At 55.9% G+C, this 12,680-nt stretch overlaps 2 long non-coding RNA genes across 3 annotated transcripts in view, besides 3 other annotated features; one reads left to right on the plus strand and one right to left on the minus strand.

Moving 5' to 3' along the window:
• Positions 1-933: an enhancer, noted in NCBI's record as "H3K27ac-H3K4me1 hESC enhancer chr16:85170709-85171641 (GRCh37/hg19 assembly coordinates)". NCBI's record gives its function as "activates a minimal SCP1, AML or CMV promoter by ChIP-STARR-seq in naive H9 embryonic stem cells {active_cell/tissue: H9 hESC(naive)}" and the evidence as "EXISTENCE:reporter gene assay evidence [ECO:0000049][PMID:30033119]".
• LINC02139 (long intergenic non-protein coding RNA 2139) lies at positions 48-12,341 on the plus strand. The gene is made up of 3 exons (NR_033984.1): positions 48-107; positions 6,716-6,839; positions 10,521-12,341. It is a non-coding gene; the product is annotated as a long intergenic non-protein coding RNA 2139 (long non-coding RNA).
• Positions 5,568-12,680, minus strand: part of LOC105371382 (uncharacterized) — a 26,357-nt gene continuing 19,244 nt past the window's right edge. The window contains exon 2 of one of the 2 annotated variants that reach the window (XR_933839.3): positions 5,568-10,659. This is a non-coding gene — a long non-coding RNA (uncharacterized LOC105371382). Of the gene's footprint in view, positions 12,202-12,680 lie in introns of both variants that reach the window. The other variant, XR_002957894.2, reaches the window with a different exon arrangement.
• Positions 9,510-10,054: an enhancer, noted in NCBI's record as "H3K4me1 hESC enhancer chr16:85180218-85180762 (GRCh37/hg19 assembly coordinates)". NCBI's record gives its function as "activates a minimal SCP1, AML or CMV promoter by ChIP-STARR-seq in primed H9 embryonic stem cells {active_cell/tissue: H9 hESC(primed)}" and the evidence as "EXISTENCE:reporter gene assay evidence [ECO:0000049][PMID:30033119]".
• Positions 10,055-10,599: an enhancer, noted in NCBI's record as "H3K4me1 hESC enhancer chr16:85180763-85181307 (GRCh37/hg19 assembly coordinates)". NCBI's record gives its function as "activates a minimal SCP1, AML or CMV promoter by ChIP-STARR-seq in primed H9 embryonic stem cells {active_cell/tissue: H9 hESC(primed)}" and the evidence as "EXISTENCE:reporter gene assay evidence [ECO:0000049][PMID:30033119]".

Below are 12,680 nucleotides of genomic sequence, written 5' to 3' on the forward strand. Positions count from 1 at the left end.
GGGCAAAGTACTGGGACTGGCACCATCCCCAGAAACTCAGGGGCAGAGGGAGGAGCAGCCCATTTCCAAGCCGGGATGCAGTTCCAGGGCAGGCAGTAGAGGCCCAGGTAACCCCAAACCGGATGCCACTCCCAGGGCAGTCCACGGTGGAGTGAGCAGCCAGGTGGGAAGGGCAGGGTGTCTCCTCCTAACTGCACCTGACCCCATCCTGTCTGATGTGCGTCCCAGGAGAGGGGGTGTGGCGACACCCCTGTGTGGTCCCCTTGCGAGCCAGCCAGGCCATCCCGGTGCCTCTGGCTTCCCCTCCCTGCCGCCAGCGCACACGTTGCAAACATCTGCCCCGGCCGGCTGCTGGGGGTCCCCTCCTGGAGTTCCCTGCTGCTGACAGGAACCAGTGCGCCTTTTATCACCCGCGGTGCACATCTGGGAACACTCTGGCCAGTGCGCTGGAGAGCTGACTCCCGGCCAAGCTCGCCGGGCAGGAGGGGTGGCCTGGGTCTGGGAAGCGCCTCCCAGTCCCGGGCGAAGCTGCCCCATGTGACCTCCAGCTTCTGGACGGTGTCCACAGAGGCCGTTGTGTAACCGCCGTGTCCAGGAGCGGGGCGGGCCTGGGCGGTGGGTGGGGTCCCACCAGCAAGCCTGGTCTGCCAAGGGGAGACGGGGGCCTCTGGGGTGGCTTAGGGACAGGGGGCTGGGGCTCCTCTGATTGAGGGCTGATGTGCATGCTCATTCTTCCCCTTGCCCCTCCTGCCTTTCTCTTTTTCTTCTTTCTTTCTCTGCTTTTTCCTTCCTCTCCCGTCTCTCTGGCTTTCGGTTGGTCTCTCTCTCTCTCTGTCTTTCTTTCCTCCCTCCTTCCTTCTTTCATTTTCTTCCTTCTCCCTTTTCTCTCTCCCTCCCTTTTCCCCTCTTCTCTCCTTCCTCCCTCCCTCCCTACCTTTCTTTCTTTTTCTTTCTTTCTTTCCTCTCTCTCTCTCCATCCCTTCCTTCTCTTTTCTTTCCTGTTCTCTCCTTGCCTCTCCTTCCCACAACATTTTCTCTTTCCTGCTTGAAGACCGCCTTCTGAAGATGTCCCTTTGAAAGGCAAGAGCCTGAACAAATGATGTGGTTTTGGAAAAGCCCAGTCTGTCCGCTTCTAAAGATGGGGTTGGTGGGGGGAGCTGTGCTCTTGCCCACCCCCCGCCCACGTCATGGGTTGCATCCTTTTAGTTGTTGTCGTTGTTTAGTCAAGGTCTCCCTCTTTCACCCAGGCCGGAGTGCAGTGATGTAATCTCAGTTCACTGCAGCCTCCCCTCCCGGGCTTAGGTGATCCTCCCACTTCAGCCTCCCCGGTAGCTGGGACCACAGGCATGCGCCACCAGGCCTGGCTAATTTTCTCTCTCTATCTCTCCTTCTTCTTCCTTTTTTTTTTTTTTTTTTGGTAGAGACAGGATCTCACTATGTAGCCCAGGCTGGTCTTGAAATCCTGGGTTCAAGAGATCCTCCCCCTCTCAGCCTCCAAAAGTGCTGGGACTACAGGCATGAGCCACCATGCCCAGTGTCCACAGCATTTCAACAGAGAGAGCCAAGCCTGCAGCCACCAGTGGCAGGCCCCTAGCTCCCCTGACGCTGATGGATTGCAGACACTTTTGAGACAGACACGGTGCAGAGAGGACTTCTCGGACCTCAGCAGAGCTGTGACCCAGGCTGGTGGTTTTGCTTGCTTGCCCAGCCCTCTGTCCATCCGTCTGTGGCTCCCTTCAATGCCACCTGCTGAAACCTCCGCCAACACCAGGCCACGTGACAGGGACTACAGGTGTGAGCCACCATGTCCCCAGGCCACTTGAAAGCATGTTTGTTTTGTTTAAAAGCGTCATCTCTTCTGCACGTGACTGGGTAACATGTCTCCAGGAGAGCCTGGGGAGGCCGGTAGACGAAGGGGCTCAGGGGGGCGTGGGCAGGGGTTCTGGTCCCTGGCCTCCTCAAACCCAGCATGGCAGAGAAGGCCTACGTCCCTTCACTCATCCATTTGTTTCTCAAATATTGGCCGAGTCCTGTTGGGGGTGAGGGTGCATGCCAGGCATCTGGATTATAACAGCATGCGAGACAGAATATCCTGCCTCCTCCATTTTAGTGAAATGCGAGGAATAAAAACATAACCAAGTGGGTAAATACGGTAATTGTCATTAGGGTGGGTCTAGGAAGGGAGTCAGCCAGGTGCTGGAGCCCGTGAGTCTAAGGTCAGCCTGCTTCTGAGGGGGGCTCCTTTCACCTGGGCTGGGCAGGAGGAGAGGGCCCAGTCACATGGGGAGCAGTAGGAATTCTCCTGGCAGCAGGAGTGCATGTGCAAAGGCCCTGAGGCACAAGAGGTTTGCTGGGCTGTAGAGTATGGAAGGAAGCCCCAGGGGGCTTACAAGGAGGGACCAAGGGAAGGGGGGCAGGATCTGATCCGGGCGTCCTGTGGGCCATGGTGACGACTTGGGGCTTTATTCTAAGATCAGTGGGGAGGTCACTAGTGGGCTTGAGCAGGGGAGCTCAGGGTCTGACTCATGCTTTAGGAAGACCCCCTTGGCCAGGTGGTGGGACCGCGTGAGGGGAGGGAGAGTGAGCGGGGAGGAGGCGATTCTTCATTGTTTAAGTGGAGGTGCTGGTGACATCAATGAGATGGTGACCCCAGAGGTAGGGAATAAAGGATGAAACCTAGAGAAGTCAAAGGTCCCTATCCTCACAGGGGGCTGGCTAGCAAAGAGAACAATTATCCAAGTATTGACAAGACAGTGTAAGAAATATAAAATATATGGGCAGCTCTGGGGGCTGCACAAATCCTTAAAGACATCCCACCAGTCTTGGAATAATCAGGAGGGCAACCTGGAGGAGGAGGCATTTAAGCCGAAAATGAAAGGAAGAAAACAAGAAGAAAGAGGAGCGGGGAGGCAGAAAACAGTGTTTCAGGCAACGGGAGCTGCCTGTGCAAGAGGACAGAGGCAAGAGAAAACATACACATTTGAGGACGATAGAAGTTAAGTGCTCCCCGTTGCACAAGTGAGGAGGTGAGGGAGGGTGGGGTTGTGGTAGGCCTGAGCTCCAGGAGAGTGGTGGACTTTGTTCTGAGGACCTCAGGGGCCACTGGAGGGTTTAACTCTTAGTGTTAGTGTCATCGCCAGATTTGTGGTTTACAGAGATTCCTGCAGTTGCTGGTGGCGTGGGTGGTGGGGAGACGTGTCCAAAAGAGGGGTTCTAACTCAGCAGCTTCCTCCCCGAGCAGCCCTGCAGAGCCAGCCCATGTTCCAGATCCAGCACCAAGCACCTGAGCCTTGTGCCGGAGGGGGTGTGAAAGGAAAATAAAATATGGGGACCTCAATCCACTCTGCCAAAAGGAAGAAATTAAGCTGAAAGCTGAGTCCTGTAAGAAGCTGCCTTTCCTTTTGTTCCTAAGCAGAGAGCTGCAGAGAAAAGGTTCAGCATCTCCACACATGGCAGCTCCATGCTCAATGCTCACCTTATCTTTTTTATTTTTATTTTTTCCGGGGAGGGGCGGTGTCGGATAGAGTCTTGCCCTGTTGCCCAGGCTGAAATGCAGTGGTGGGATCACAGCTCACTGCAGCCTCAACCACTGGGGTTCAAGCGATCCTCCCACCTCAGCCTCCTGGATAGCTGGGACTACAGGTGCACACCACCACGACCAGCTAATATTTTAAAAAATTGTAGAGATGGGGTCTTGCTGTGTTGCCCAAGCTGTTCTCAGACTCCTAGGCTCAAGCGATCCTCCCGCCAACTCGTCCTCCCAAAGTGCTGAGATTACAGGCATGATCCGCTGTGCCCGGCCTGGTCTGAATATCTTTTTTTTTTTTTTAAGACAGATTTTCACTCTGTCGCCCAAGCTGGAGTGCAGTGGTGTGATCTTGGCTCACTGCAACCTCCACCTCCCGGGTTCAAGGGATTCTCCTGCCTCAGGCTCCCGAGTGGCTGGGATTATAGGTGTGTACAACCAAGCCCGGCTAATTTTGTTTTTTTTTGAGACAGAGTCTGGCCCTGTCGCCCAGGCTGGAGTGCAGTGGCATGATCTCGGCTCACTGCAAGCTCCACCTCCCGGGTTCACGCCATTCTCCCGCCTCAGCTTCCCTAGTAGCTGAGACTACAGGCGCCCACCACTACGCCCAGCTAATTTTTTGTATTTTTAGTAGAAACGGGGTTTCACCGTGTTAGCCAGGATGGTCTTGATCTCCTGACCTCGTGATCTGCCCGCCTTGGCCTCCCAAAGTGCTGGGATTATAGGCGTGAGCGACCTTGCCTGGCCTCATTTTGTATTTTTTAGTAGAGATAGGGTTTCACCATATTGGTCAAGCTGGTCTTGAACTCCTGACCTAAGATGAATCCACGGGCCTCAACCTCCCAAAGTGCTGGGATTATAGGTGTGAGCCACCGCACCTGGCCTTGTCTGGCTATCTTGATCACGCTGTGCACATCTTCCCTGTGGGAGCAGCTGGGGCACCGTCCTGGACCTGGGAGAACTGCAGTCACCATAGGGTTGAGGAGCTGTCAGAGTCAATCACGATAAGCACTAAACACACTGGACCGCCCCAAAGCTGCTCTGGGGAGGAGTGTGGGCCTTCCAGGCAGATGCGGCGGCCAAGACAAAGACCTCAGTCAGGGCGGGAGTGTTTGGCGTAAGACTGGTCTGCCTGGAGAGAGGGCTACCACTGGTGGAGACGCTCGAGAAAGCCTGCCTGCCAAGCTTCAGTGTCTAGACTTGATCCTTTGGGCAATGGGGAGCCATGGAATGTATGTAAGCAGAGGAGTGAGAAAGTGGGATTTTAGGAAGGCTGTCCCTCACAGCTCGAAACTCCCATTGCCCTCCCAGGTCAGCCTTTCTGTTCCCCTGCCTGACCACTGCTGCTCAAGGCCGTGATGATCCCAGGGGGCCACCCAGTCCCTTTTGAAAGCCTGAAAGCTGCCGGCACCTCTTTCCTGTGCCCAGGTACCCCTAGGCTGCCGGAAGCGATGCATTGTAGCGCTGGCCTCCAGGATTTCCTGCAGTGGCCCATGGGCTGGACAGGTCTTTGAGAAAACCTCCCCAGAGGACCCCATGCAGCCTGGCCAGGGTCAGGCCTGGGAGTCAGTGAGAGGGTTGTTTGCTCAAAGCAAATGGGGCCTTGGGGAGAGGACCCTGCAGGAAGTGGATGCTGTTTGTGGAGGCTGCGGGGTCTCTGGAGCCTCCTTCAGCAGCTCCCAGCTCTGGGACCACCTATGTGTCCTGGCCCCTGCTTCTCCAGCATCCTCTGCTCTGGCAGGCGCGGAGCGGGGCTCTGACCGGGTGGTGGCCGCCATCCCCTCACTCAGAGCTGGCTGTGGGCTCCCCTGCTCTTTGCAGCTGGCAGGAATGACATGGGGGACAGCCTCGGGCAAAACTGGGACATCATGACCTTTGTTGAGACAGTGTCCCCCTCCTTATTCCCCTCTCCCCCACAGTCCTGGGCAGGACCTTTCAAATGAGGCTGTGGAGGGGGTTGAGCTGCAAAAGGTCACCTCCTCTCCCTGCCCCACCCACTCCTGTGACGGCCAGGTCTTGTCACTCCCAGACTCAAACTGCCTTTTGGCTCAGGAGGGGATCCACACAGGCCCAAAAGGAGTTTTATTTATACAAATAGTGCCTACCCAGTGCCTAGCAGACACAGGGGTTCCGTGAAGAGTGTCGGGGTTGTAGGGGGGCAGTGGGGGAGGAAAGAAGGCGTCACTGCTGCCCAACCTGGCCAGGGATGAAGGGGCCTCCCCGTCCCCTAACCCACAACCTAGCGCCTCCCCTGCGTGGCTCTGTGGCCACAACACCCCGGGGCCCTGACCTGCCCCGCCAAAAGCTGCAGCCTCCAAACCCCGCCAAGGTCACGTCGTTTTCTGTCACCAAACTTCCGAGGCTGCTCTGTGTGGCTTTGTGTGGCCTGGCTGCAAACCAGACCCCGATCACGCCGATGAGAAGGCCTCGCTGGGGCAGGAACCTGGGCTGGGGCGGATTCCTGTCCCTGGGGAACTGGAATGAACGTTCTCTGAGCCCCCAAGCCTTTTTAGTCCCCCTGTCCGTGAGCTGGAGCACCTCACTCTGCCCAGCCCTGCCTGGCCGGCCTGGGAACCTTGACACGAGCTGTTCGTGGGGTTCTGGTTACAGCAGGAGGCATACAGGGACCTTTAACCGCTGCACGCAGATTCGGGGGTCTCTGTCCACAGCAGGAGGGGTACAGGGACCTTTAACCGCTGCACGCAGATTCGGGGGTCTCTGTCCACAGCAGGAGGTGTACAGGGAGCTTTAACCGCTGCATGCAGATTGGGGTCTTTGTCCACCTGTGAGATGCCTCTGAGTCCTGCTCTTCTTCTTCGGGCCACGGCAAAGCCACACAGAGCAGGTTGGAAGTCTGAATCTGTGACATGTCAGCTGTATGACCCTGAGCAGAGCTCTGTTGTCCCACCTGGAATGTGGCCATCCCCACCAGCGGGGAGTCCGCACAGCTGTGGGTCTCCTGTGCCCTCAGCTCTGCCTGAAGGAGGACAGGGCATCATGGGCTGTGCATTCCATGCCAGGGGAAACATTTTATCAATCAATAACCTCCCTGGCCTGTGGATCAAGGGGGCACCTTGACGATCATTGGAGGGTCAAGGGAAAGAGCTGCTGTTAGCTGAGCACATACTGTGTGTGCCATCAGGCGTCTTATGTCCTTACCAGACCTGCCTTTGTATTGCCATGTTCCAGGTGCAACCCCCAGCCCAGGAGGAGACTTGACTCGCCTGAGGTCAGCTGGAGCCAGGAACACCTTTGTGCAACAGCTGCCGTGGCCCATCTGTGAGAGACACGTGGACCCCGTGCCTCGAAACAGGTCCTGGGAGTGGTGTAGGCACCATGATCCCCTCAGAAGATTCAGGGGAAAAAAAAAAGGCCAAGCAATAAATGAAGTGATTTCCAGCAAGGGAGTGCCGTGCGGGGCAGCTCTCGAAGAGGTGGCTTCTCACTCCTGCCGCGCTGAGCCCTGAGCAAGACGGAGCAGCTCTGCACCCAGAGGGGCTGAGCTTACGGGCAGAGAGAGCTGCCTGGGCAGAGGCCCTGCAGGAGGACACAGCGGGAGGGAAGATGGGCTGACTTTGAGGGCTTCCTGGGCCACGGGAAACAGCATCAAGCAGCCCCAGGAGGTTAGCCAAGAGTGGGCAGGTGTGCGACTCAGTAAAAGTCAGTTCCTCAGTTTACCCAGTTTACCCAGTAGGAAGGCCACAGGTCCACCATCTGAGCCCTGATGACGCCTGAGCCAGGTTTCCTGCCTCTGAGGAAATTCCAATTAGATGCAGGCGAGATGTGCTGGGCTGATAAGGCACTAACAATGGCCCAGGGCAGAAAGCGAGCAGGGCCAGAGGCAGGGCCCAGAGCCCAGAGGCTGCGAGACCGGAGAGGCTGGGGCGGCCAAGACCTCCTTCACGCCTGGGGTCTGGGTGTGGGTGGGGGCCGCCTTGCATCAACCTGGGGGTAGGGAAGGGAGGAGGTCAGGCACGGCCAGGACTCGTACAGCAGCGGGGTGTCCAGGGCGTTGTGTGAGTGTCCCATGGCTGCCCTGACAAATCACCACAAGCTTAGAGGCTGAAACCTCGCAGCTGCTTCTCTCCTGCTTCTGCAGGTCAGAAGTCAGACATGGCTCTCACTGGGCCAAAATCCGGATGTCGACAGGGCTGGTTCCTTCTAGAGGCTCTGGGAAGCCCTGGTCCTTGTGCTCCCAGCTTCCAGGCCACCCGAATTCCTTGGCTCCTGGCCCCTTCCTCTTTCTCCAAATCCATCATTGGAGCATCTTCCAGTTCCTCTCTCTGAGTGTGATGCCCCTGGCTCCCTCCTGTGAGGGCCCCGGGGTTCCTCAGGCCCACTGGCTAATCCAGGACACACACCCGCCCCCCACATCCAGGTCCTTCACTGAATCATGTCTGCAGAGTCCCTTGGCCACCCAAGTTAACACAGTTGCAGGTGCAGGGGTTAGGACGAGGGGCACCTTTGGGGATTGTTTGAGCCTGCAGGGTTGACGTCAAGGTCAACATTTCTGGGCTGGAGATTCAGGACCCCGAGGTCAGGGTCGGGGACAGGACCGAGCTGCCATCTACAGGGGTTTGAGGGGACTGAGAAGCCACAGAAAATCTCATCGTAGGATGTGGCTGTTACACGCAGCCAACACCAACAGGCGAGGGGTTGTGGAGCCCTGCGAATCCCAGACTTTGGAGCAAGAAGCCCTGGCTTGGCCTCTCACCAGCTGTGCGCCCCGGGGCAGGTCACTCTGCCTCTCTGAGCTTCACTTTCTGCAAGTGAGGGGCAGGGAGCAGAAGAGGCCCTGGCTTTCCAGGGCTTGCGGGGACATCTGTGGGAGGATATTTGTAACCTGCATGACACAGTGCCCGGCACATGGTAGGTGCTCAACCTGTGATGGCAACGTCCCATGGGCCATCCCAGCGGGGCCTGGGGAAGAAGGTGACATGACCCACCCAAGACCACTTTACAAGGCGAGAAAGTAAAGCTTGTCCCGAGAACAGCTACATGACAGCTGAGGGATCAGAGACCTGGGCAAGCCACAGAGGGCGCTTAATGAATGCGTGTCGAATGAATGAACAAGTGACTGTGAGGTGGCATTAGATGGGGACGGAGGAGCCGACGGGGTGCCCTGGGTCCTGTGCAGGGGAGGGGGCCACAGAGAGAGGAAGTGAGGCTGCTGAGCACTGCCCAGGACGGATGGACAGAGCCACTGGGGCAGGGCCGGGGAGGGCAGAAGCTGGAGCGTAGCCGAGGCCCCCGCCCTCTTGCTGGCTAGATGTTTAACTCTGGTGAATGGCCCTGAGCGGGCACCACACCAGCCTGGAGTCTGCTCCCGGGAGGGGCGGACACAAAGCCTGCAGGCCAGGGGCCTCCTGACCAGAGCTGCCTGTCCAGGGCTCAGCCCAGATGGGGATCAGCTCCTCTTCCAGGCGGGCTTAGGGGGCTTCACGTGTACTTCCTGTCTGAGAAGCGCTGGTGTGGACACCCATGGAAGAAGGTCAAGTCGGGTGACCTGATTGCTTGGGGCCGGGTGGATGGGGTGCCTTTTGAGCTGAGCTTGTAAGATAATTTGACTGCAGGGGTGGAAGGCTTCGGGGTGGGGGAGCGACATCACAGTGATGGGGACGGCCAGTGGAGGCCGTGTGTTTTGGCTGGAGTGGATCCCAGATACTGTGCCCTGGTCCAGACCCTGGAGATGGACTGGCTCTGCCCTCAGTATTCACAGTCCTTACAATGACCAGCAGGCCCTGTGCTAAACATGTTATGTCCATCAGTTCATTTACTATGCCAAGAATGGTGTGGGAGGCCCCAGTGCTTATTCCATTTCACAGATGGAGCAAGAGAGGCACGGCAAGGTCAGTGACTTGCCCAGGATCTCTCAATGTGTAAGTAGCTGAGTCAGAATTCAAACCCAGATGTCCTGGCTCCAGCATCCTTGCTCTTAGCCTGTCTTCGAACTGCCTCTCTGAGAGCACTAGGGAGCCACGGATAGTTTGAGAGCAGGAGAGTGACATGCATGAAACAGAGTTTTGCAGAACTGGATGTGGCAGAAGCATGCTCACGAGTACACCGGGGTAAACATTTTTCAGGGGTTGGGATGGGAATTGGGAATGGGGGAATGAGGAGGGGGAAGCCTCTAGGGTGATCCTTCCCCAATCCAGGCAGGAAGTAGCATGATGGCCTTGGGGAGGGGTCAGCCAGGCTGAGATCCAGCCAAAAGTGAGGTCTCAGGAGAATTCCAAGAATGAGAACGAGGTGCGCCCATGGCCACTGAGGGCTAAGGACAAGAGGCCAATCAATGGCCGAAGCCCTGGGAGAGTCACTGCAGCTGCCAGGGGACAGCGGCCGGCCCAGGCAGCCATGAGCCGGTTTCCCTGGCCTAGTTTTGGCTGCATTTTCCTTACCTCCTTTTTCCCTCCAAGTCAGAGCCTCTGGGAAATCCCTGCCGGCCTGGCTGCCTTGAGGCCTTCTTCCTGGCTCGGCCGGAGGACCCCGGGGCAGGCTACATCCTGCTCTGTGCTTGGAGCCCAGGGTCTCTTCCGGGACAGACCCACAGGGACAATCTCCCTTCCTGGCCTCGTCTCTGTGAAAATCCAGCCTGAGAGTAGGGCAGAGAGCCTTGCTCTGCACAGATCGTCGAGGGTGGGCCTCTCCGTTTGAGGCTCGGTGATGCTGCGTGGGGGGAGTCCGCGCTGGCTGACCACACAGCCTGCTCACCTGCCCCATGGGCTCGGGAGTCGCCAGTCTGGGCTGGTGGCTGACCTTGGACGGCTTCCTTAACCCCTCTCGGTTTCCTTCTCTGTAAACATGGGGAGATTAACGATGGGGTTGTTGTGAAGATTTCTTGAAGATAGTGGATGTCAAGGTCACAGTCGTGCTGCAGACATTCTCATTACCATGCATTCCTGGCAGGGCTTTGCTTAGGGGCCTGAGGACATCATAGTCTCGAAGCTAACTGTTCCTGATGAAAAGATATTCATTGCGTGTCTCCCACATGCAGGCAGTGTTGTAAGCACGGGGACAGAGACGTACGTGAGCAGATGGAACCCCCGAAGACCTGCAGCTGTCATCCTGGGACTGTGTGCCCGGCACTGTGCTAAATGCTCCCTGGGGCATCTCGTGTAACCTTTGCAGGAACCCTAAAAACGACGATCAGATTAGCCTCCTCCTCTTGAAAATGGAGACAAAATTCAAATAACATAAACTTCACCACTTTAACCATTTTATTTTATTTACATATTTTTTTTGAGACAGAGTCTCGCTCTGTTGCCAGGCTGGAGTGCAGTGGTGCGATGTAGGCTCTCTGCAACCTGGGCCTCCCGGGTTCAAGCAATTCTGTCTCAGCCTCCCGCGCAGCTGGGACTGCAGGGGTGTTCCACCACACCCAGCCAATTTTTGTATTTTTAGTAGAGACAGGGTTTCCACATGTTGGCCAGGATGGTTTCGGTCTCTTGACCTCATGATCTGCCCGCCTTGGCCTCCCAAAGTGCTGGGATTACAGGCATGAGCCACTGCACCTGGCCCACTTTAACTATTTTAAAGGGTACAATTCAGTGGCGTTCAGTGCAGTCATGAGGTTGTGCAGCCACCACCTGTATCTCATTTCAGAATATGCCCATCACTCCAAAAGGAAAACCCTATCCCCACGATCCGTGGTTCCCCAGCCCCCTGGCCCCCAGCCCTAAGCAGCCACTAAGCTGCCTTCTGTCTCTACGGATTGCCGGTTTTGGGTATTTCATGTCGATGGGATCAGTGTGTGGCCTTGTGTCTGGCTTCTGTCTCCAGGCATATGTTGTCAAGGGCTATCATTCCTTTTCTTGGCCAAATAATGCTCCATGTTGTGGACACATCGTATTTTGTTTATCCGTTCACCTGCTGATGCATGCCAGATGGTTGTTTCCAACTTTTTAATTCCCATTATAAAGATAAGGAAACTGGCCAGGTGCGGTGGCTCAAGCCTGTAATCCCAGCACTTTGGGAGGCCAAGGCGGGTGCATCACCTGAGGTCGGGAGTTTGAGACCAGTCTGACCCACACAGCGAAACCCCGTCTCTACTAAAAATACAAAAAATCAGCTGGGCGTGGTGGTGTGAGCCTGTAATCCCAGCTACTCAGAAGGCTGAGGCATGAGAATCACTTGAACCTGGGAGGCGAAGGTTGCAGTGAGCTGAGATCGCGCCACTGCGCTTCAGCCTGGGAGACAGAGACTCTGTCTCTAAATAAATAAATAAACAAACAAATAAATAAATGTAAACTGAGGCTAAACCGCTCCACTCAGGGTCAACACCTGCCCTGTGACCCAGCAGTTCCACTTTTCGGTATTTATCTAGGAGAAATGAGAACACATGTCCACACAAAGACCTGTGCACAAATGTTCACAGCATCTTTCTCTGTAATAACTTCGAGCTGGCAACGATCCAAATATCCATCCACAGGAGCTGGGTAAACAAACCGTGGTGTCATCCTGGAGTGGGACGCTCCTCATCAGGAAAGAGGAAAGAATGACCCATGCACGCAGCAGCTTGGAAGAGTCTCAAAAACAAGATGCCAATGAAGGAAGCCAGGCACGGGACTGCAACTGTAAGCTGTGACTCTGTGTGACTCCAGCGGTACGAACTTCCAGGAAAAGCAAAAATATGGGACAGAGTATCCACAAGTGGCATTCAGGGACTGGAGTGGGAACTGGCAGGGAAAGGGGAAATGTATTGATTATTTCGATTGCAGTGGTGGGGAGGAGGGTGGACACCTGTGCCAAACTCACTTAAAACGGATGTATTTTATTGTATAAATTATGCCTCAATGAAATCCATTCATAAAAAGAAGCTGAGCCTGGGCACGGTGGCGCATAGCTGTAATTCCAGCACTTTGGGAGGCCGAGGCGGGCCAATCACGAGGTCAGGAGTTCGAGACCAGCCTGGCCAACATGGCGAAACTCCGTCTCTTCTAAAAATACAAAAATTAGCTGGGTGCAGTGGCAGGTGCCTGTAATCCCAGCTACTCCAGAAGGCTGAGACAGAAGAATCGCTTGAACCAGGGAGATGCAGATTGCAATGAGCCGAGCCGAGATGGCACCATTGCACTCCAGCCTGGTGACAGAGCAAGAATCTGTCTCAAAAAAAAAAAAAACCCAGGAAGCTGAGTTTCCCAGCCCTCCATGCCTG

The sequence above is a fragment of the Homo sapiens genome, chromosome 16 (genome assembly GCF_000001405.40).
Source record: "Homo sapiens chromosome 16, GRCh38.p14 Primary Assembly".
Taxonomy (NCBI): domain Eukaryota; kingdom Metazoa; phylum Chordata; class Mammalia; order Primates; family Hominidae; genus Homo; species Homo sapiens.